Genomic DNA, 25,980 nt, shown 5'->3' on the forward strand with positions numbered 1-25,980 from the left:
TGCCTTTTTTTGTTTTTCATTGGCTTGGTAGATCTTCCTCCATCCTTTTATTTTGAGCCTATGTGTGTCTCTGCATGTGAGATGGGTTTCCTGAATACAGCACACTGATGGGTCTTGACTCTTTATCCAATTTGCCAGTCTGTGTCTTTTAATTGGAGCATTTAGTCCATTTACATTTAAAGTTAATATTGTTATGTGTGAATTTGATCCTGTCATTATGATGTTAGCTGGTTCTTTTGCTCATTAGTTGATGCAGTTTCTTCCTAGTCTCAATGGTCTTTACATTTTGGCATGATTTTGCAGCGGCTGGTACCGGTTGTTCCTTTCCATGTTTAGTGCTTCCTTCAGGAGCTCTTGTAAGGCAGGCCTGGAGGTGACAAAATCTCTCAGCATTTGCTTGTCTGTAAAGTATTTTATTTCTCCTTCACTTATGAAGCTTCGTTTGGCTGGATATGAAATTCTGGGTTGAAAATTCTTGTCTTTAAGAATGTTGAATATTGGCCCCCACTCTCTTCTGGCTTGTAGGGTTTCTGCCGAGAGATCCGCTGTTAGTCTGATGGGCTTCCCTTTCAGGGTAACCCGACCATTCTCTCTGGCTGCCCTTAACATTTTTTCCTTCATTTCAACTTTGGTGAATCTGACAATTATGTGTCTTGGAGTTGCTCTTCTCGAGGAGTATCTTTGTGGCGTTCTCTGTATTTCCTGAGTCTGAACATTGGCCTGCCTTACTAGATTGGGGAAGTTCTCCTGGATAATATCCTTCAGAGTGTTTTCCAACTTTGTTCCATTCTCCCCATCACTTTCAGGTACACCAATCAGACGTAGATTTGGTCTTTTCACATAGTCCCATATTTCTTGGAGGCTTTGCTCATTTCTTTTTATTCTTTTTTCTCTAAACTTCCCTTCTCGCTTTATTTCATTCATTTCATCTTACATTGCTGATACCCTTTCTTCCAGTTGATTGCATCGGCTCCTGAGGCTTCTGCATTCTTCACGTAGTTCTCGAGCCTTGGTTTTCAGCTCCATCAGCTCCTTTAAGCACTTCTCTGTATTGTTTATTCTAGTTATACATTCTTCTAAATTTTTTTCAAAGTTTTCAACTTCTTTGCCTTTGGTTTGAATGTCCTCCCATAGCTCAGAGTAATTTGATCGTCTGAAGCCTTCTTCTCTCAGCTCGCCAAAGTCATTCTCCATCCAGCTTTGTTCCGTTGCTGGGGAGGAACTGCGTTCCTTTGGAGGAGGAGAGGCACTCTGCTTTTTAGAGTTTCCCGTTTTTCTGTTCTGTTTTTTCCCCATCTTTGTGGTTTTATCTACTTTTGGTCTTTGATGATGGTGATGTACAGATGGGTGTTTGGTGTGGAAGTCCTTTCTGTTTGTTAGTTTTCCTTCTAACAGGGAGGACCCTCAGCTGCAGGTCTGTTGGAATACCCTGCCGTGTGAGGTGTCAGTGTGCCGCTGCTGGGAGGGTGCCTCCCAGTTAGGCTGCTCGGGGGTCAGGGGTCAGGGACCCACTTGAGGAGGCAGTCTGCCCGTTCTCAGATCTCCAGCTGCGTGCTGGGAGAACCACTGCTCTCTTCAAAGCTGTCAGACAGGGACATTTAAGTCTGCAGAGGTTACTGCTGTCTTTTTGTTTGTCTGTGCCCTGCCCCCAGAGGTGGAGCCTACAGAGGCAGGCAGGCCTCCTTGAGGTGTGGTGGGCTCCACCCAGTTCGAGCTTCCAGGCTGCTTTGTTTACCTAATCAAGCCTGGGCGATGGCGGGCGCCCCTCCCCCAGCCTTGGTGCCGCCTTGCAGTTTGATCTCAGACTGCTCTGCTAGCAATCAGCAAGACTCTGTGGGCGTAGTACCCTCCGAGCCAGGTGCGGGATATTATCTCGTGGTGCACCGTTTTTTAAGCCCGTCGGAAAAGTGCGGTATTCCGGGTGGGAGTGACCCGATTTTCCAGGTGCCATCCGTCACGCCTTTCTTTGACTCAGAAAGGGAACTCCCTGACCCCTTGCGCTTCCCAAGTGAGGCAATGCCTCCCCTGCTTCGGCTCGTGCATGGTGCGCGCACCCACTGACCTGCGCCCATTGTCTGGCCCTCCCTAGTGAGATGAACCCGGTACCTCAGATGGAAATGCTGAAATCACCTGTCTTCTGTGTCGCTCACGCTGGGAGCTGTAGACCGGAGCTGTTCCTATTCGGCCATCTTGGCTCCTCCCGGGTCCTATTTCTTAATAGAAGCAGGTAAGTATCTATTTCCTATAAACTCAGAAAAAGAAGGACTATCTATCCATGACATGTGTTGAAAAGTTTCTATATATTTGCTATGGATCTATTTGCAGTAAACGTGTCTGTACAAAGATTGTGATGTAAAACACTGACTTTTTTTTTTTTTTTTTTTTGAGAGGGAGTCTCGCTCTGTCGGCCAGGCTGGAATGCAATGGCGCTATCTCGGGTCACTGCAATCTCTGCTTCCCGGGCCCAAGCGATTCCCCTGGCTCAGCCACCTGAGTAGCTGGGATTACAGGCACGCGCCACTGCGCCCAGCTAATTTTTGTATTTTTAGTAGAGATGGGGTTTCATCATGTTGCCCAGGCTGGTCTTAAACTCCTGACCTCAGGTGATCCACCCGCGTTGGCCTCCCAAAGGGTTGGGATTACAGGCGTGAGCCACCGCTCTTGGCCAACACAGACTTTTCCATAGGATCATAGCTGACGTTCAAAACTTAGCACAGCACTCGACACCTAATGGGTGCTGAATAAATATTTGCTGTGGTTGGAATAGCATCTGCATTATCATTATCGTCCTGAACAGTCATAAAGGAATAATACGAGGGGAGTTATATCTTGCATATGGGTTATAAAGGTAATTAGAGGATCAGAAAATGTAAGGTTGATTAGCAGAGATCTTTCCAGTAATAATAGCTTTAAATAAAATCACAGGAAATAGATAGTAATAGAGGAAATTGTTCTCTGAGATATTATACTGGAAATTGTAGTCAAGTGATGAGAAAATTATGGATTTATTAAACAATTATCTGACTTGTTTACAAAAGGCAAAAGAGAAATGACTTTTACTGGATACAATTTCAGTTAATTCTATTTCTCAATGTAGGCAGATACAAAATACAAAATCTAAAAGCATCTTAGTAGGAGAAATGTTTATTATATGAGTTACAAAACTTGGATTTTCTGTCTGTTGTTTTAAATATTATAAATTAAATTAAACTCTCACAAAACTGAATTTAAAACTCAGTTTCTTCAAGAATTCTTATGCATCCTTTTATAAACATTTTTGATTGTGTTACTTATGTCAAATTGGCAAAGGAAAAAGTTGAGACAAGTCTTTCAATTAAACATACAATCCAATTGACCAGGCTGTGATGGTCATTCCAGAAGCTACTATTGAGACATAATATTATGGTAATACTTCTAGGCATCTTTATAGCTTAACAACAAGTAACACATAATTTCTATATTGCCCAACTCTCAATTTTACTTTCCATGAGATACTATTCCTATTCTGAGTAATAAAAGGCAACTGAATTTTCTTTTCCAAATATATATAACATTCAAAGAAAAACACAAACTTATTCTTCAGGCATAATCATTTTGTCAGAAGTTAAAAGCGGAAGCACATCAGAATGTAGTAATTAAATTAGAGAACTTAGGAAAAAATGACTTTTTTCCTTTTTTATATTCTTATGGATTGTTTGTGATATATAATGCGCACAGTTCTGGGTATTATGGACACCACCATCGGTAACGTCCAGCCCTGACTTTACAATATTCTGTGAAAACAAAGAAATCAATGGTTAGAATAAACTGAGAGGTGGATGATACAGTTTGGTAATAATTCTAGACCACATAGGAGGGGCATCTTAACCAGACAGTGGGATTTAAAGAAAGCTTCCTAGAGTAGGTCAATTTGTGCTGAGACATAATTAATGTAGAAAAGGACTTTTTTGCTAACTGGTTCTGTGTTTTAGGGTTCAGAACTTTTTTAAAAAAATTATGAAGATTCATAAATGACTACAGAGCATTTTTTATGGAGCTACTATAGATAATATATGTAACCACTGAAGTAGAAATTTTGAACAACAAAAAAGAATGCAAAATTTAGCGTATGACATCTGCTTCTTCAATTTAAATCAGGTCTCCTTGACAAAAGCTTTAAACTGAATAGCACGTTTGATCCCCAAATCTTTGCTGGTTTCAGTTCTGTGTGTTAAAAAGCTCATAGGGTATTGGATCTAAAGAGAATTGCATGGAAAATTTTTAAACATTTAGGTATTTTTTTCTGATTTTAATAGCAATGCATGATAATCACCTAAAATTTGTAACATACTAATACAACACAAACAGCATACAAGAAAATGGTACTTAGACTATTCCCATAATGACTAACCATTGTATTTGGTTAAAAATATATGCCGTGCAATTTTTCAAAAAATTTAAAATTTCAAATTCCCAGACTCCCAATATTTTATCAGTCTAATCTTATCTCACCAACTAATGGAGAAAAGGATCTACATTTCCCTTTATTCCTGAGGCCACATCAACCTGTTAGTACAGATAACACCTCCTTTGCCTTAATATCCTAATTATTTTGGCAGGTTAGTCCTTCCAAGACACAGGTTATCAGGCCAATTTAGGAGAGTCTCCCAATTTTCCTGATCTTGGCTGCACAGAATTCTCACACATTTATCTGCTCCAGCTTCTTTATGTAAACACACTCTACATACTCTGTGCCCCAGTCTCTGCAGTAGATACCTCCATAGATATGGCCTTTTTTCCAATGCAACAGCCATTGCTTTGATTCTAGTTTATATCTATAGCATGAACTGCCAATGTATTCTATAGAGAAATAAGGTTATTGCTTCTTTTCCAGTCAATGTTGAACCTTGTCATCATAACCTCAGTGTAGCTTAATATATATGAGGCTCTTCATTAAATAAAGAACCTTTTAATCTGGGTGCATATTTTCTTTCATATTTTCTTTCCATAGATGTGGAAAGAGGAACTATAATACAATTTCCTGCTTCACCTTTCATCTTTGCTTGAGGTTCTTCTCCATAAACCTTTTCCCGCCTCTGTCAGCCCCAGAAACACCAAGGAAAACTCATCTGCAAATGCAATAAAAAATTACATGCATGCACATGTAAAGAAGAGAGAAGAATGTTCCTCTTCCAACCCAAACCCTGTTTAGGCTCAGCCTCAACAGCATGCTAAGCACAGAAAGAAAGATTTCTAAAACAACGCAAGTATGTGATAATAAATGGGTAGAAAGCCATCAAAAACTCAACAAAAATCTTCTAATGTTTTAAATTCTGAAATTGTTGGAAGCACTTTTATTAAACATCAAAAAGAGGAGATGACAAAGCAGGCTGCCTTTTCAAAAATAAGAAGTTGCACTGTGGTTTTTATACCATGTGTAAAAACCAAACATTGTTCTAGGTCTGAAAACTAAGGGAGTTCATTGTCAGTTCAGGTACATGTAAATAAAGTAACATAAGTACAATTTCTAAATTATTTCTAGTTTCTACATATATGTGTTTTATGAATTTCCATAGTTATCTAACACATACTTCACCAATCATCTACATTTAACAGCATACAATAAAGTTAGGTAACAAATAAATTTACCCAGAAGTCAAAAATAATTCACAGAAAAAAGAGTCTTATTTTTTGATTAAATGACGAGGAATCACAACATAAAAGCTTTTCAATTATGAAGGGGATCAAATTATAATAAAATTTTAATTTGGTTTAAGACCTAATTAATTAAGCTGGGATTCTTTATTTAAACAACTAGGTTATAAATTCAGTTTAAGGGTAAAAATAAGATATTTTACCTACAGTACTTAGATGACTCAAGTAGATTGTTACATAGTATTTGTTTGTTCAGCTTTGTTCTGTTTACCACAGGACACTCTGTCCAGTAACTATGGCCTTGATTCTCCATAAGGGTTTGGGTTAGGAATGAACCCTCTCACCAAATATAGAGTTGAAAGGAGAGTGGCTTCTCCCACTATAATATCTAATGAACAGGAATTGTTCTTTGTGTCCTCCTAACTCTGGATTCTGCTTGAGTTAGAGTTTCAGTACTCAGAGGGGAAACATTCCCAACAAAGGGGCCAAGAACCAGTATATTAGAAATTGAGATCATCCCTGTCCACTTAATGCTTATTGGACCATTCAAAACATAACAAAGAAAATAAAAAGCAAAAGAGCTACAGTTTTGGCAGGCATATGGCTCTAAATTTCATGAAGAAATCGAGCGACTGCTACAAAATAGAACAAAAATAGTAAGAAACCAGTGAAGTTGTAATCCCACAGATGTAAAATCCTCAAGGACTTGGATCTCTCAGGAAAGATTAGATCAATCTACAACGTTAAAAACAAAAACAAACACAAAAACAAAACAAAAAACACCAAAGCATCTGAGATGGAGCCAAGACTAAAAGGAATATGGAAAGTGATCAAGAAAGTGAATAATAAGTAGATATAATGCCTCAAAATCAATTGCAAACTTGAGAAATGCAATATTTACTCATTTATTCCTATGTTGAATACATGTTTGGTATACATTAACTATTTTACATGTATTTGTATATGTTAGCTATTTTTTCTTTTTGTACTGCTAATCTCTTGCTATATTCTATAATATGTGTGAATGATGGTTAATTGTGTAGTAGTAGTCCACAGATTGCAGAATATTGATACAGAATTAAGAGAGAATTACAGGAAGAAGAGATGTCACACAGAGATTATAGGCTTTGAGTTCAATAAGAAATTTCATAAGCTGTGGGTTCTTCCCATTTGCGGATAGAATTACGTTTTTAATAACAGAAGAGACTGTTGTGTGGGGCAGAGGTATTATTGTTGCTCTTGTGACTGTTTATTGTGAATTAGAATTTTGAGTATGGAATAAAAGCATATACTGATGTTATGTAGCTGATATAATAGACCATAAATTTATTTTAATACATTTGACTGTCTATAATCCTGAAGAACTCTGTGTATGTTTGAGAAGTTTCTAGATTTCATTACTTTCTGCCTCCCTATGTTTGAAGTCAGAAATATACTTTCCTTTCCTTTCTTTCAGGCTCCTGCTCTGAAACTCTATTAATCTGAACCATTTATAGCAACATCAAAAGAGATGCAAGAAATCAAATAAGTAGGCTTGTAGTTGAATGTCCTGTGATGAATGTGATGTCAAATCCAGCTGCTCAGAAGTAGGAGTGTCAGAGGTTTTAGGAAGAGTATCTCGTAGGCTGACTTGATATCCATGAACAGTGATGATTGTGCAGGGATCTTCTTGAAAGAGACCATCTGCTCTAGATTGGACAAGTTTCCTAGCTATGTAACTTCCTACTCTGGTCATTGGCCTTTTGGGAAATTCTAACAGCTATCAAATATCCTTTCCTATGTTTTTTTTTTTTTTTCAGCTAAAATTAGTTACTGATGTTCTCGCCTGTTTTATTATGGACAACAGTCATTATTGGTTGTGTTTAGAAAATCTCTGATTAGAGCTCTGCAGATGGTCCCAAAGTAAGACAGCACAATGCTATATCTCATTTCTTAAATGAGGAATGTATAAAAACTGGAAACAAAATAAAAGAATCCATTATTTCCTCTTCTTCTATAGCAGTAAACATAAAATATACATTAATATCTCAAGAAGTAATCATTCCTATGAATGGAAGCCTTCATGTAATCAAAGAGGGAGTCTAATTTAAACCTAATCCCAAATCACCCCACTTAATTTTAAATAAAATGTGTAAATGGCAATATTTTTAGAAAAAATGGAAAGAAATTAAAAAAATGTGTTTAAAAGCCGTATGAATCCTGAATGGCACTCTTTTCAAGACATGAAGTAATTTTAGATTTGAATGGCTGCTGTTGCAAGGCAAAAGCCGCTAAGAAAACAACTTAGGGACGAAAAAAAAAATCCCTTCTTACAAAAGAAGAAGGAGGGAGAGAAAAAGGAGAAGAGTACCTGCAGCAATTCAACATAATTAGGTCTAGACAGTAATGCAGAACAAAGGTCTTAGAGTCTGAAAAAAATAAGTGTTGAAAAGAAACATAGGGAAAGATGGAGTGAAGTTGCATGGTTCCAGAGTTGCAAAGTGTGCCAATTTGTGGTATTTCTTCTGTTGGAACGGGTGTGTCAAATGTGATCTGTAGCTGTAAACAGGTATCCCGATAAGGATGCACCACCTTCCTGCTCTGCAAGGGACCCAGTATGGACACTCTTTCAGTGGCTGGGTAACTCACGGAGACAATTAGCTTCCAGAAATTAAGATGTACGTACTTAGTAAATTTCCTCATACAGAAATTTCCCACAAGAGTCAGGGCTAAAAGATGGGCAGACCATGAGATTTAGAGATAATTTGGATTAATCAACAAATAAGAATCTGGGCTACATTTGCCTTGCATTCTGTATTTGGATCAGATTGTAGAGCTGTGCTAGGATATAAGATGTTTCTGAGAAGACTCCTCCTGTTTTCTGAGTCAAAGGCAGTTCCCTAACAAAAATCCACCTCATGTCATTCAGTTTTCTTAAGGAATGTTAGGCTTTCAAAATACAAATCCAGACATCTATGCCTAAATCCCCTTTTTTTCCCTTGAAAATCTTGCCGCACCAGCTCCAAAGGTCTAAGAAGATTTAAGAGGATGAAGTGTTTGATTTTTTAAAAAATGAGTCACCTCTCTTGTCTATTAAAATGCAACAACATTTTTAAAAAGAAAATTCTATTCTTCATGATTTTATGTGATATTATAGAGATTTTAATTTGCTTTTAAAGTATTTAAGTATTTGATTCCTTAAAACCTCTCTAAAGCTGCAAAATCGTACATTAGCATGGAGAAACATTTAAAGCAGTTTCATTTTCAATTTATATTCATATATGCAAGTATATCTAAAGTAAATCTTTCAGCAGGATTTTGAGCTATTCTAGCAGTGCGGAGAAAAAACTCTTTCTGAGTTAGTGGAGTTTCTTATTACATAGAAAGTAGCATATTATTTCAGTATTGTGAATTAGAAAAAATCCTGGACCCCCCTCAAAATTATTCACTATAGTGAAATTTAGAAACATGTGGTTTCAAGATAGAACCAGCAATCTTATGGAGGCAACAATTGAAAACAAATAATTTTAAAATCCTCTATTATTTTAATCCTCACCAAGAATATATTTAATAAACTCTTGATCTATATGAGGCTCCATCTTAGATACCTTAGAAGAAATCAAAACGTCATTATTTCCACATCTAGGAAGAATATGAAATGAAATGGGCGCACAAATAAAAATACATGTTTGAGTGTGGAGTAAGCGAGTTAACATGTGGTGTCACAAAGAAAGTTTTGCCTGAGGTAGCAGAGGCTTCATGGAAATATCAGCATTTTATCTCTGCCAGAAGATGGTACATAGATGATTGATAGATAAGAGAGACCAGCTGTGTGTGTGCATGGGAGAAAGAGACAGAGAGATAGAAAGAGAGAGATATACAGAAAGGAAGATTTTGAAAATGATGAAAGATTGGAAAATACCCTCAAAATATTTGATGTAATCTGTACATAATCCTTTTCATTCTATCAGGATAGAAAAAGGTTTTGGTTTAGAAAATCTATGGGTTGAACATGGAGTAGTATTCAGAGAGACAAACAGAAACAATCAGATTTATTACAAATTTACATAAGTAGTATTTGAATATATGAATTTACAATAAGGAATATTTATTTTGTTCCTCCGATAGAAACCTTGCAGAATTATGAAAGCTATTCTCCAATGTGTAGTTAGAGAATGATTTCAAAACTATATATACAAACTTAAATGGCCTATGTGTTCAATTAAAATAATTGAATAGTTTGTTCTTTATCATTCCAATTGATCAAAATAGAAAAATATCTTGCCAGCTGTGGTGGCTAACGCCTGTAATCCCAACACTTTGGGAGGCCCAGGTGGGCAGATCACCTGAGGTCAGGAGTTCAAGAGCAGCCTGACCAAAAAAAAAAATAGAAAAATATAAAAATATATTGCAGAGGCCGGGCATGGTGGCTCATGCCTGTAATCCCAGCCCTTTGGGAGCCTGAGGCGGGCGGATCACGAGGTCAGGAGATAGAGACAATCCTGGCTAACATGGTGAAACCCCGTCTCTACTAAAAATACGAAACAAAAATTAGCCAGGCGTGGTGGCGGGCGCCTGTAGTCCCAGCTACTCTGGAGGCTGAGGCAGGAGAATGGCGTGAACCCGGGAGGCGGCGCTTGCAGTGAGCGGAGATTGCACCACTACACTCCACCCTGAGCGACAGAGCGAGATTCCGTCTCAAAAAAAAAAAAAAAAAAAAATATATATATATATATATATATATATGTATATATATATATATATATATGGCAGAGAAACAGACAAAAAACTGGTATTTGAAAAATTGTGGACTGTAATAAACCGCATATGTAAGTGAAATTCTTCCTGTTGTACATCTCAATTGTATCTACGAATGACAAACAAGTAACATGACACGTGTATCCGCAATGACACATGTATCCATAAATGTACTAAGAGAAATATTAACAAAGGGAAAAACTTCTGAATACAAAACTTAATATACCTTAAAGATATTTTCACTGAATTTTAAACATTTGCAATTCACAACCTATTTTTAATGTTAACATAATTAATGATATTTTATACAGTAAACTGAAGCTTTTTGATGATTATTTCAGAAGATAATATTGGACTGTCTGGTTCATAATTAATTCTTGTACTGGCTTTTAAAAATATTCTTTCATTCAGGTAAGTGGCACTGTTAAATATATAATTAAAGTAGCAAAGAAATCTTGGCTGATTAAGGAAATAAACCTACTGTTTATGAGTTAACCTACATATTTAGAGCAAAAATATGGTTAGTTTACTATATTTAATTGAGATTCCATATATAGCAAAGGAGCAAAAGTAGAAGCAAAAGGAAGCTAAATGCCACAGGAGAATTAAGTAGTGTCATCATTGTAAATAAGTGGCTATCATAATATATTTAATAATAGATTTGAAAGAAAATATATGCTGTTCATTTGGAAAATTTCGTCAGCTAAAAATTAAACACAAGCTATATTTATCACTTAATTTTACTCTCTTTTATATGTTCTGCAGTGCACGTCTGTTATATTTTCAGTTAAGCTGAGCGGCTCTTGACAGAAAATCTCCCATTACTAGATTTATAGTCTTTTATTATATTCTTGAAAAACTAAGAAACCCTCTCCATAACACCCTCCATTCCATCAAATTTAATAGAGGCAGATAGATAGATAGAGATGTGAGATATATAAATAGATAGTTTCAGTTTAAATTTATGTATAACGGACATAAAGAACAATGAAATTATAATGAAATACTTTATGATTTCCTTATAGTTAATTTAGTTGTCTGTAGTTTAGTGGTTGTTTCATAAAAGACGTAAATAATTGAATATCCACCTATACTACAGACAAATCAGATTTCTTAAAAAAATTCTGTAGATTTAAAATTTAGAAACTATGCTTCATATAAAGGCTACTTTGGACAGAAATTTGTTTATATATCTACAACTACATAAATATACACATACACATGAACACACATATTTATTCCATTTTCCAATCCCATTCTCCTTCATCCCTCCCAAGAGGCAATAACTTCTGATAATCTCTATGTGTAATATTAGTACATGTTTCATATTGTTTGCAGAAGAGAAAGAAGCACTAAATGTGAGGGTGATCAGTCCGAAGCACTTATTAGGGGAATGTACTTACAGAGTGCTACAGCTTATCCTCCCAACGGACTGCGAAAAAGAAAAAAGTGCTACCTAGGTGTGACCACAGCAAGGGATCAGGGTATTCAGTTTATAGGGGGTGGTTAAGAAATTTTGCTCAGAGCTGGGGTTAGTTTCAGTGTTTGGGGCAACAATCTAAACATCTTTACCAGTACCTGGAACCATTCAAACCACTGGCTTGGATGCAAACCTGTAGTGAAAAGCACAGCTGGCCCAGTCACAGAGCAGTTAAAGCATTCTGTATTTCTCATTTAGGACAGTAGCAAAAGTGGAAGAACCTGGGAACCCCACATTTTATTATTTCTTTCAGAGATAAATTGTGGGTTATAAATAGTCAGACTTTCTCTGATTTTTTAAAAAATATTTTCTTAAATATTAGTTTAGCTAAGCACACTTTGGCTAATTATTGAATATGTCATTCTATCACCTTCTTACATTTACTATTATTGATGAGAAGCATTCTGGGACTCTAATTACCATTCTTTTTATATATGCCATTGTAATATATCTCTTTAATACTTTCTATTTGTCTTTCAGGTATGAAATTTATCTATAATATATCTAGATATATTTTTAACATGCTTCCTTAATCTTAAAACATATCTTCCTTTGAGATATGATTATTACCTTTGTCTTTTTATTCTCTCCTTGTAGAATTCTTATTTGCTGTATGTTAGATACTTTAATTCCATATTCCAAGTCTCTTAACTACATTTTATAATATGATATGTATTTTTATCTGTCTATGATGCATTTGCATGATCTTTCATTCACCAATTCTATTTTAAGCTGTATTTTATCACATTTTAATCAAACATCTTTTTAAAATTTTATTAACAACCTCTTATTACTTGTTTTCATTTCAAGTTCACCTAATGTTTTTGGTGATTTTCTTTCATCATTGTTCTCGTGTCACATTCAATTTTTAATCATTTTAAATATCATTATTTTAAAATTTTATTTCAATTTTTTTTATTTCTTGGCATACTATCTTATGTCTCATGTATTTTTTTCAGTTTTTCAAATCTCATACTCATTTATGATTCAGGCATCCTCGGGGGCATGCAAAGCTTTGATAGTCAAGGCCCAAATAAGTTTTATTACTGGATATAGGAAATGAATTATCTATTTTTCCTCCACCCAATAGCCTGGACTGTAATAAATAATACAGTTTCTCTTGTGGGAAATATGGGTTCTGTTAAGAAACAAAAACAATAGAATTCAGGTGGATGAAAATAAAAATGTCCACTTAAATAAAATTTTGTTTGATTTCTAGAATCAGTTCTGTCTTCTTTTGATAACAGCCCCAATTTTCATATGTGGATGTATTTTATCCACTGTTAGGCCAGGCACAGATGCAGAACACATGATCCAGACTAAGCCAGCCATTCTCCTGTCCACACTGACTGATTCGAGTTTGGCTTGTGATCTAAGCCATTTTAATCATCATAGTTATTAGGAATCTTGGGAAATTTATTCTTTTCTGATGTATTCACATTTTAAAGAATGTAGTCATAAGAAGTGAGGGCAGAATCAACTGTGAGAAAAGAGAAGCTAATAAATCCACAGTGAGAATGTAGTTTCTGGAGATATACATTGATCCCCGAACCAAGCCACATGGAAATTAAACCTGTCCCTGCCCAGTTACGGGAACCTGTAGTCGCCTTCATGCTTCAGCTACTTTAAGTGGTGATTTTATTAATTGCAAAAAAAGTAGGGAAGGGGATTCCAAACTGCTATGATCTACTACATTCTAAAATATAAAACCACTTTTCATGGGTTAGCGTTTTGAATTCAGGTAATGATATTTTCTGACATTGTAATTCGGGGCACATTACTTCTTTTAACCTCAAGTTATCTATTTTAAATTGAAATAAAACAATGCCCGTCTTTACGTTTAAGTACAGAATGCGACAGTACATATTGAATGCCTGCTATATATTAAGAATATACTTTTTATGATTTTATTTTATTTTAATTTCAACTTTTAGATACAGGAATACATATGCAGATTTGTTACATGGGAATACTGCATGATGCTGAGGTTTGGAGTACAGATCCTGTCAACCTGGTATTGAGCGTAAGTACCTACTAGGTAGTTTTTTAACTCACCTTTGCCTCCATACTCTAGTAGTTCACAAAATCTACTGTTCCCAAATTTATGGCTATGTGTGCTCAATGCTTAGCACTCGCTTATATATGGGAACATGTGGTATTTGGTTTTCTGTTCCTGAATTAATTTGCTTAGGATTGTGGCCTCCAGCTCCATCCATGTTGCAGCAAAGGACATGATTTTGTTCTTTTTTAAGGCTGCATAATATTCCATGGTATATATGTACTACATTTTCTTTTATTTTTCTTTCCAACTTTTATTTTAGGTTTGGGGGTATGTGTTTAGGTTTGTTACATGGGTAAATTGCATGTTTTTGGGGTTTGGGGTTTGGTGTACAGATTATTTTGTCACCCATATAATAAGCATAGCTGATAGGTAGTTTTTCAGACTGTACCCTCCTCCCACTCTTACCCTCAATTAGTCCCTCATGTCTATTGTTACCTTCTTTGTATCTATGTGTATTCAATGTGCAACTCCCACTGTTAGTGAGAACATGTAGTATTCAGTTTTCCATTCCTGTATTAATTTACTTGGGATAATGACATCCAGCTCCATTCATGTGAGTGCCGAGGACATAATTTTATTATTTTATATGGCTGTATACTGTTCCAACACTGTAAACATACTACATTTTCTTTAACCAGTCAACTGTTAATGGGCATCTAGGTTGCTAAGAATATATTCTTAAAAAGTGTCAATACTATTTTAAAGTTACAAATTACCAAACTGGAAGATAAAAAAAATTCTAGTTAAGCCACATCCCACATTTTGCAGGAAAGTTATGCGGGTCAAATTATATACATGATACAATTTTTCTACAGGGGCTTTTGTCGTCAATAGTACTGGTAGAATTTGAATTCAAGTCACCTGAGTGAAAATGCAGTAGCATCTCTTTATTCTACATACATTTTTCTTTATATGTTTGTTTAATTCTATATACACAGTTTTATATTGTCAATGATCTATGTGAACATTTTTTTCACAAAGTCAAATTGGCTTCATAATTTCCAAACATAGACCACCTGGAATATTTTAAGTTAATATTTGTTATCATGCATGTATGCTTCCCTACAATCATTTAAAAAAAAAAACCTGCTTTTTTTTTAAATCCCAACATAATGGAAAAGAAGGGGAAAAAGTATAGGGAAGAGAAATGCTAAGATATAAAAAACAGTTTTCATAGAATATCATGTATGTGAAATCAATATTAGCATAAATTATTCAAATAAAATTAATTATGAAAAATAATAGACTTTTTTTATAATTGAGAAGGCAATTCTGCTGTGTAATCCATTTGTGTACATTCACAAAGCAAAAGGGGATATGACAAGTGTTCTCTAATTGAGACAGAAAGAGAGAATGACAATGCTATGCCCAGCAGCCCCTGTTAATGCATGCATCTTTTGGTGATTTATGTTTTTCTAAGCAAATGTCAGGTATCACTGCTAGTATATGAATATATTACAAGTGTTAGAACAAGTGAAATACATTCTGGCTGATGAATAAAATACAAGGCTATTAATAAGGATAGGTAAACACTGTTCAAAGCAGGCTGTTCATGTCTCCCGCATAAAATCATTTCAAACAGAACGTAATGACTAATGACTTGTAAGCTCTTTTTAATATCTGCTAGGTATTATGCAGTTATAATTTGTAGATTAAGAACCCATTGCTATTCATTCCCTCTCCAAAGATTGAAACACAAGAAAACTATACAGATAATAGATATATGGGTTTAAATATATATGTATTTATCCAAAACTTTATATACACATGTAAGTATACAAGAAGTTTAAAATTACTTTGCAAATGGTGAACTATTAGTAATGTAAACAAGATTGTTATATAAGTTGTGACCACAGGTAGAGGGGCAGGAGAGATGAGAAAGAAGGCTGTTCTTAAAAACTCAGAGGATAAGAAAGAAGAGAAATTATAATTTAGAGAAAAGGGACAAATTATCCATTTAGTCAAGAAATGCAGTTATTTAATGTTATGGTGACAAAAAGGAATGTGTTAGAGGAATAAAGCAAAACCAGTTTTCTAACTGGAAATATTAAATATGGATGATAGGAAAACCCATGAAAACCTCCGGTAGACAGTAGTAGGAATTATGGGAGTGGAAATAATGATGGTATAAGTTGTCAGTGTTACACAATATTTAAAATAAAAACTGTAAATGAGATCAACTTGGCACGATATATCTTCCTAAAAGAGGACACATTTTTCAGAAGTCACAGGCCAATTATTCTGCATTTTTCATTATGACATGTCTGATAATGCCTCACATCAATTAAGGATCCATCTATCTACAAATGATCAGAAAAAAAATAATTATCAAATTTAGAACATAGGCAGAAATAAAGGAGGTAATTTAACACTAAGAAAGAATAGTATGTGAGATAGAAATAATAAGAGTTTATTATCATAAACTGATTTTGAGAGTTTCAATAAAATGGAGTTTACATCTCTGGAAAATTTACCAGGAAGGTATAATAAAATGAGAAAAAAATAAGGCTTTTTGGGAGAAAAGTATTTGCAAAAGACATATCTGATAAAGACTATCATCCAAAATATACACAGAATTCTTGAAACTCAACAATAAGAAAAAAAATCCCGATTTTAAAAAATAGGCAAAAGATCTTAACATAACCACCTGAGGAAGATATACAAATGACATGTAAGCATATAAAAAGATGCTCAACATCATCTGATATTAGGAAATTTCAAATTAAAACAACAGCATGATGCCACAACACACCTGTTAGAAAGGCCAAAATTCAAAGTAATGAAAATATTAGGGATAAAAGACTATGCATTGGGTTCAATGTTTACCGCTCAGGTGCTGGTAAACACTGTATTTTTAGGGCAGTAAAACTATTTTCTGAGAAATCATAATGGTGATTATATGTCATCATATATTTGTCAAAATCCATAGAAAATACAGCACCAATAGTTAAACTTAATGTAAACTTTTGACTTTAGGTAATAATGATATGTCAATATAGATTCATTCATTGTAAGAATATACAACTGTGGTGTGAGATGTCAATATTGAGGGTGGTTGTGGATGTGTGGGACAGAAAATAAATGGAGACTTCTTGTACTTTCTACTAATTTTTTCTGATAATCTAAAACTTCTCTAAAATAATAAAGCTTTATTTTTTATAAAAACAAGCCATTAATTTTGGCAATTATGACCTCCTCCAAGGAATTTTGTGAAATATAGGAAAGCTGTGGGAAACAAAATACAATGGGTTAAAGATTAAATTTAAAATATTGGTGATATTTTTTCATTAATGCCTAATGCCTTCAACTCACTATTTTATTAACATTCACATTTTTCTTTGCACAGTCCTTCAGGTTTACTGTTGCTGATGATGATTTTTCTTAAAATTTTGTTTAGAACACAAAATGCTGGCAAAGATGGGAAGAAAGTGAGTCACTCATAAATTGCTAGTAGGAATGTAAAATGGCATAGCCATTCAATAAAAGAACATGGCAATTTTTTTCAAAAACTAAACATACACTTACCATAGCTCCCAGAAAATACTTGGGCATTTGCCCCAGAGAAATAAAAAATTATATATATTTCACACAGAAACCTGTACAAACATGTTCATAGCAACTTTATTAATTATAGCCCCAAACCAAAACAACCCAAATCCCATTCCATGGGTAAATGCTCAAACAAATATCCATACCATGGAATAGTATACAGCAATGAAATGAAATGCAATTTTAATACACGCAACAACTTAGATGAATCTCAACGGAAACATGCTGAAGGAGAAAAAAAAAAAAAAAGCCAGTCTCAAAAGTTTGCATACTGTATGATTTCATTTGTATAGCTTTTTTTTTTTTTTTTTTTTTTTTTTTTTCAGAAGGAGTCTCACTCTGTCACCCAGACTGGAGTGCAGTGACGAGATCTCATCTCACTGCAACCTCTGCCTCCCGGGTTCAAATGTACCCCCTGCTTCAGGCTCCCGAGTAGCTAGGACCACAGATGTGCTACCTGACCCTGCTAATTTTTTGTATTTTTGGTAGAGACAGGTCTTTGTCATGTTGCCCAGGCTGGTCTCCAACTCCTGAGCTCAAGTTATCTGCCCAAGTTGGCCTCCCGAAGTGCTAGGATTACCGGTGTCAGTCATGACGCCCAGCCTGCCTAGCATTTTTGAAATAACAAAATTATAGACATGAGAAAAATATTAGTAGTTTTCAGGCATTGCAAGGGTGTTGAAGAAGAAGAGTATGGCTATTAAAGGGTAGCAGAAGGAATCCTTATAATGGACCTGTTCTGTATCTTGACTGGTCGTTGTCACAAAAATCTAAATGTGAGATACAACTACATAGATCTAGCTAACCACACACACAAACACGAATGAATGAAAAAGACATTAAATCTAAACAAGATTAATGGAATTTGTTAACATAAATAAACTGTTGTGATATTGCGTTGTAGATATGTGAAACATTACTGTTGGGGGAAACTGGATGAAGGAAATATGGGATATATCTATATTGTTACACTTGCTTGAAAACCTAAAATTACGTAAGTAAATATTGTTATTTTTTCTATCCATAGCCTCTTAACAAATTTATATATGTGTCAGAGGGTAATTATATGTTTGGAGTTTATATACAGTTGCATTGCATTTATTTATTTTCCACTTTGCACATTTTCCACTTGCACACTTTTCCACGGGTTTTCCACCTTTCCAAAAGCTTTGAGACCAAAAAATGTTTTCTCCACAAACAAATCAATCATTAATTTTGGGTACAGGAACCATTTCAATTGTCATTGTTCTACATCTCTTCCTATGTTACTTACCTTCCAACTGGCAATATTTTTCCATGACTGATGAATAGTTTTTAGAGTTTCATTTTGTATGGAGTTGCTCATAGTGAATTATCTCAGTTTTGACTTCATCTTGAGTAACAATGTTAATGTGTATGAATTCTACATTGGGGTGTGTTTGTCAACATTTCAAAGAAATTATTTCATTTTATCTACCTTCCAATGTTTCTGTTTCCATGTGAGCTGTCATTCTCAGTCAACTTTTTGTTCCTTTGAGGATGATCTTTTTGGTGCCCATGTTAGTAGTTTTCTAGATTTGTTCTTTGTTTTTTTCTTTTAATCAGATTTACTATCATATGCTCAAGTGTAGTCTTCTTTTAATTTAGATGTTTTGACCTTATTATAATGGCATCAATACATGGACATTTTGTCGATTTTGAAAGGTTCGAAGCTTCTATTTAAAATATATTGTTTTTATTGTATTCTCTTTCTTGCTATTCAGCCACTTCATTTAGACCTTGCAGACTTTATGTCGGCTTTGGTTAGGCTATAGAACAGTTAAAAATGATTCAAAATATATGATTTAGAAAAACTATTTTATCTTTCCTGTTAATATCAGCCACTGGCCAGCTATAGTACTACTCCATGTATATTCTTCATCCTGGTAGCCAATCTGAAGGATCCCCTATCTCTGGAAAATGCTTTTCTTATGTCAGAGGGTAAAGAAAAATTGCAGAGCCATGTCCTAGCTCTTCAAACTTCTGGTTAGGAATAAGAAATGTTAATGCTGATCAAATCCTATTGGCCAAAGTCAGTTACAAACCAAGTTTACATACAAGATCAGAAAGCATAATCCCATCAAAAGAAGGCCTATAAATTAACTGTCAAAAATAATACTATTGACCACTGACTGAACCACTGACCTTCACATAATATCTTTACATCTTTCACCTTTTCATTTCTTTATTTTTGGAAATGGGGTCTTGCTGTGTCACCCAGGCTGCAGTGCAATGGCGAAATCAAGGCTTACTGTAGCCTTGGGCCTCCTGGGCTCAAGCGATCCTCCCAGCTCTAGGACTGCAGGTACATGCCACCACGCCTGGAAAATTATTTATTTTTTTATTTTTGTAAAGACTGGGTCTCACTATGTTTCCCAGGCTGGTCTCAAACTCCTGGGTTCAAGTGATCCTCCCTCCTTGGCCTCCCAGTGTGTTGGGATTATAGGTGTGAGCCACTGCAGCTGGCCACCTGTCTTAATTCTTTTGTTTTTCCATGCTTCTTTATTAATATTTTGACTAAGTTAATTTACTAATTCTCTCATCAACTATGTCTAGTATGCTGTTAATCATATCCTTTGAATTAATAATTTGACTACTATATCTATTTTCTAGTTCTAGAATTCTACTTAATTTTGTTCTCACCAAATAAGTCACTTATTTTTTCCAGTTGTCAGCCAAATTGTTCAAGCCTGAATCCATCTCTTTGAACATGTTCAACATAGTTTCTACCATCTGTCTCTGATAATTCCCCTAACTGAGGTTCTGTGCGTCTGTTTCTGTTGTTTGCTATTTCTGCATGTTTTCAATTCATATTATCTCTTCTCCTTATGGGGATGACTATCTTTACTTATGTGATGGACTCTGGACTTAAAAGAAAAAGAATGAGTTCATGTACTTTGCAGGGACATGGATGAAGCTGGAAACCATCATTCTCAGCAAACTAACACAGGAACATAAAACCAAACAACGCATGTTGTCACTCATAATTGGGAGTTGAACAAGGAGAACATATGGGCACAGGGAGGGGAACATCACACACTGGGGCCTGTCGGAGGGTTGGGAGCTAGGGGAGGGATAGCATTAGGAGAAATACCTAATGTAGCTGAAGGGTTGATGGGTGCAGCAAACCACCATGGCCCATGTATACCTATGTAACAAACCTCCACATTCTGCACATGTATCCCACAACTTAAAGCATAATAAAAATTTTTTTTTTAAAGAAACAATTTTAAAACAAGAATGGTGTAATTTTTCTCAAGATGTTTGCTTCCACCGGGTGTATGGGGAAATAGTAATGTAAGATCATTCAAATCCAATTTCAGAGTATAAGACTTTTGTGCGAATGACCACTGAGATGACCCGAAGCTAGACAGCAGTTCCCAAGAGGGTTGGTTTACTTCTTTATTATCTTATCCTGAGGGTACATCCCTCTAGCCTTCACTCTTATCGTACCCTGGTTTCCAGTTTTTACTCCCTGATCCTATAAGTCTATCAAAATTGTTGCTCGTATTCCCTGTGCTTATTTGGAATTAGTAAAGTCCCAGGAGTAAATGAGCTCTCTCAAGGCCAAACTTATGTCTATACAAAAAGTCTTTTCTCAGTTTTACCTACTGATTCTTATCTTCATTTATAGTCTTTTGAATATTTTATATTTTTCTAAAATATTTTTTCTGTATTTTTTGTTGTCTCCAATGGGAGAATTGATTTGAATTACATATTCTGACATACTGAATTGTCAGGTTTGATTTGTCAAGTTGATTCATGTAAAACATCTACTTGAGGCACTTTGGTGGCAAAATTTAGTTTTTATGTAAACTTGTTATCTAAAAATTACATACAGTGGTCAGGCACTGTGTTTCATACCTATAATCCCAGCATTTTTGGAGGCCAACGCAGGAAGATTGCTTGAGCCCAGGAATTCAAGACCAGCCTGGGCAACATGGAGAGACTCTGTCTCTACAAAAAGTTTTAAAAATTAGCTATGCATGCCTGTAGTCTCAGCTACTTAGGAGGCTGAGGCAGGACGATTGCTTGATCCTGGGAGGTTGAGGCTGCAGTGAGCCATGACCTCACCAATGCTCTCCAGCCTGGGTGACAGATGAGACCCTATCTTAATAAATAGAATAAAATGTTATATAGAATATTATCCCCAAAATTACAATCTTCTTCATATAGATAAACTCTACAGTTTCAACTTGTAGCCATCTCAGCCTCCAGAAAATGCAGTCTTAGTGTGTTCATTATCAAGCAGTTTATTCCTCCTTTTTTAAGTTTCCTCTCCTGCACTTGGATTCCGGACATTCCTTCCTCTCAGAAGCTAGTATGACTTTAGGGTTCATTTTGTTTTTATTTTCTCAGGGATCAGAGTGCTGTACTATCCATTGTGCAATGCCTGAAAACAACTCTTTCATATACAGCCAGCTCCCAACTTAAACTTAAAATTTTTTAACTTTATGATGCCGTGAAAGCTTTATGATGCTATGAAATCAATGATGCTGTTTCACATTAAGTAGAAACCATAATTTGAATTTGAATTCAAAATTCTTTACAATAATTTTATTATAAAACAGGCTTTGTTTTAGAGGATTTTTCTCAACTGCAAACTATTCTAAGTGTTCTGAGCATGTTTAAGGTAGGCTAGGCTAAACTATGATGCTTGGTAAATTAGGTGTATTAAATGCATTTTTGATTTACAATATTTTCAGCTTACAATAAATTCGTCAGGACATAACCTTATTGAAAGATGAAGAGCATCTGTAGTTTGTTCAATTTTCTAGTTATTTCTAACTTGAGATTAAATTCAATGTTAGTTACACCATCCTGGCAGTTTTTCCCATTTAAAAAAACGTATTACTTTGACTGTTTAAATTGTAGGAAATTTTTATCCGGTTTGAATATAAGTTGTCAGAAATATACATGCACAGATTTTCAGCCAATTTGTGGCTTCACGTTAATTTTCTTAATGGTGTCTTTTCATCAGTAGGTTTTTAGAACATGGATAAAATCCAGTGATAAATTGTGTATCTGTAACAAACTTTTAGTTTCGTCATATGTTGCCTGTTTTCGTTTTTGTTTTCCTGCTGGACAACTAAAACCAAATATGTTCACTTATCATTTTGGATACGTGATTTTTCCTATTTTATACTTTCTAAAAATTAATATCATACGTAGATTTATACATATTTCTATTGTGCTCTTTAAAGTAAAGAACCCTTAAATCAGCATGAATTTAGAAGGAATATTCTGTAGATCTGCTGAGAATTTTGCTCTCTACTCAAAGGAGAAACTCAATTTGACTAAATAGCCACTTAAGATCTTTTTTGGTTGTTTTTTAAGTAAATAATTTTAATTAGAAACACCACTGATGCAATCCATCGTAGGTATATTGATCTTCAATTATTAATAAAACTGCCTACATCAGACAAATATAAGCAAGAAAAATATCTGTTTATGAGTGCATTACAGATGTATCTATATGATTAATTTCAGATCTGTCAAGAGTTCACAAATAAAGATGGCTTAGATTTCTACAGTTTTTTTCAAGTAAAAGTCAAAATGTCAAAACTGTAACAGAAAAATAAACGAATCCAAAAGAGGAGCCAAATTTGTTCAGATTAAATACTTTCTACCTTTGAAATCTTTAAAGCAAACTTGAAGCAAATACTTTTATAATTAACAAGCTTTTGATTTTAAATTATAAATGATGTTTTTGATAAAACTAGATTTCAACAGCTCTGGGCTCTTTGCTTAGATCTGCTACTTGATTTTTCCTGGATTGAATGATTTTTTTTACTTCAAAGCTTTCAGGTTTACAATCTCAGTTTCTACTACTTTCAAACCTCTAAAATAAACATTATGGAAAAAATAATACTCAAACTAAACTGTCTGCAACTTAAAAAGGAATTTGTGTTTCATGCAAGGCCAATCAAAGTAGAGAAAATTTGCCATGTTTTACTTAAGAAAAAAAAATACTTATTCTGACTTTAACCCCAAGATAGTCACTCTGTTTACTTGTCTTCATTTTGAAAATCTTAATGTATCCCCTGGTGTAGATGCTATGAATATCTTGGCCTTATTCCCTCAGTACTCATCTCTGCCAACTAAAGACTGTTTACTGGAAACACCTGTGACTCTGCCTGCCAGCTTTTTGCTACATGTGACAAGTTAAAGCTCCCTGAGAAATCCTTAACCCATGATGAACTGAGAGTTGATGAATAAATACCATAGCTTACTTTGACCAAAGCTGAGAAAACTGAGAGACATGGTTTACAGTGTTTCCCAGAGATTCGCGAAGGTGACTTACTTCATAGTACACCCTTTGTTGGCTGCCTTGACTTTCTTGACTCACTTCTCCACTCTCTCCCTAGTGTTTAGGGATCACTTCCCCCCAAAATGACTTCCATTTGAATCCTTGTTTCAATCTTGGATTTTGAGGAAACTCAACCTAATTTATTTTCAAAAATAAATAACACCCTGTTTACCATGCAGACTTTGAACACAAAGTCCCATTTATTTCAATCCAATAAAATGATAGATATAACTTTTTTAATATAAAAATTTTAAATCAGCCTTCTTAGAATTTCATCAGATTAGATAATTTCTACACCTCAAGATATAAAGTTATAGTTTTACCAGATAACAGTAAATAAATTCTAAAGTATTAGAAAATCATGTTTTATTTTCAAATGCATATATATATATATATATATATAATCCAAAAATATAATATATATATATAATCCAAAAGCTTTATTTTTGGATTAAATTTCAAAACAACAGAAGGGTGGATGATAACTTCTTAGTCTGTTTTCAGGCCATATAGATATTAATCTGAACAAAATATTTTCTCTGATGTTGTTATAGTATAATTTTCATGAAATGGCTAATAAGGAGAAAAATTGCTTCAAATTGTAGGATACCTCCACTGCCTCATTGTTACCTCTGCCCAAAATGCCTCTTGGAAAAAGAGAAATCATCATGTGTGTTTCCCTTCTAGTCCTTTTAATGGAAATATTCAATATAGTAGCTAACCCAACCAATTTTGCTCTGTATACCACTTGCATGTGATTTGATTGTCATATTTCTTGAACAGATTTGGAGGTATTAATCAAGGAACATAGGCTAGGCGCAGTGGCTCATTCCTGTAATCCCAGCACTTTGGGAGGCTGAGGCGGGCAGATCACTTGAGGTCAGCCATTCCAGAACAGCCTGGCTAACATGGTGAAACCCGGTATCTACTAAAAATACAAAAATTAGCCAGGCTTGGTGGTGGTGGGTGCTTGTAATCCCAGCTACTCGGGAGGCTGAGGCAGGAGAATCACTTGAGACCAGGAGGTGGAGGTTGCAGTGAGCCGAGATCCTGCCATTGCACTCCAGCTTGGGCAACAAAGGGAGACTCCAACCTAAAAAAAAAAAAAATCAGGGAACATATTTAGAAGGTCTCTAATATGCTTTTCTGAGCTTTTCTTTTATTTTATTCAGTATTGACTCAGTAACAGATACAAATCCCTTGGTAACACATTTCCTTTTGTGTTTGTATTACTTGTGAGTTAAATAGTCTCAAGGGTTTTGCTAGGTTGCAAGAAAGCAAACTTTTAAAATAGCTAATATTCGGTTCATCAATTTAGTAGGATTCCATTCTTGTTTTAGTTGAAAAAGTCAATGGATATTTATAAAAAACTTGTAGGGTTTTAACTTATATACTATAAACTCAACCTACTTGATGATATCATAAGTGGGGGAAGTAGGCCTTTTGATTTTTTGGTGTTTAAGTTAGAATAAAACCTCTTGAAAGACGAAACCTAACATTACCTCCCTATTTGTTGAATGAATGAATGAATGAAAGGGTACATGAATGAAAGTATGCCTTTTGTATGTAGATGGGATGAGGATGACCACTAATTTCTTTTATTTTTTCCTTGTTTTTATTTTATTTGCATATTTGTTTACATAAGCCCAAAGTTTCCTTTTAGACTGATTTGTTACTTGTAGCTTCTATCCACTTCAGCCTCATTTCCATTTTTGTATTTTATGAGTTTAGAAGATTCTAACTTTCAACTTTCTTCATGCTGTGATCTGAACTTCCTTCAAGTCAGATACATGCTGTGAACAAGTGGGTTTCTTTATTTGTAAAAATCCTGTTAAGATCTTTATTCTTTTTATTACTTATCTACATTCTACATTGCAATTTAATAGCCTGTACAAAGTAAGTGCATGGTAATTTGAGATTATCCCACAAATAATTTTTGGAGAAGAATTTCTAAATTATTTATGAATGATTACATGAAGAATAATGATAGAATTTTAAAAAGTGTAGAAAGCTTAGCTTTGAGGAAAGTTGTTGCCCTACCTCATTATAAGCTCTAAACTATTTTACTGTCTACTTCAAATATTTCAGGGTTTTTTCACACCAAAAAAGGCTTTTTTTGTTAAGAACTTAGAATGCAAAATATTTTAATCATTTATTTCATTTATAGTACCATTCATTGACTTCCAAATA

The 25,980-nt window shown here is 34.8% G+C and overlaps 2 annotated features.

Moving 5' to 3' along the window:
* Positions 990–1,882: an enhancer, noted in NCBI's record as "NANOG-H3K27ac-H3K4me1 hESC enhancer chr8:115597388-115598280 (GRCh37/hg19 assembly coordinates)". NCBI's record gives its function as "activates a minimal SCP1, AML or CMV promoter by ChIP-STARR-seq in naive H9 embryonic stem cells {active_cell/tissue: H9 hESC(naive)}" and the evidence as "EXISTENCE:reporter gene assay evidence [ECO:0000049][PMID:30033119]".
* Positions 1,883–2,774: an enhancer, noted in NCBI's record as "NANOG-H3K27ac-H3K4me1 hESC enhancer chr8:115598281-115599172 (GRCh37/hg19 assembly coordinates)". NCBI's record gives its function as "activates a minimal SCP1, AML or CMV promoter by ChIP-STARR-seq in naive H9 embryonic stem cells {active_cell/tissue: H9 hESC(naive)}" and the evidence as "EXISTENCE:reporter gene assay evidence [ECO:0000049][PMID:30033119]".

The sequence above is a fragment of the Homo sapiens genome, chromosome 8 (assembly GCF_000001405.40).
Source record: "Homo sapiens chromosome 8, GRCh38.p14 Primary Assembly".
NCBI classification, from domain to species: Eukaryota; Metazoa; Chordata; class Mammalia; order Primates; family Hominidae; genus Homo; species Homo sapiens.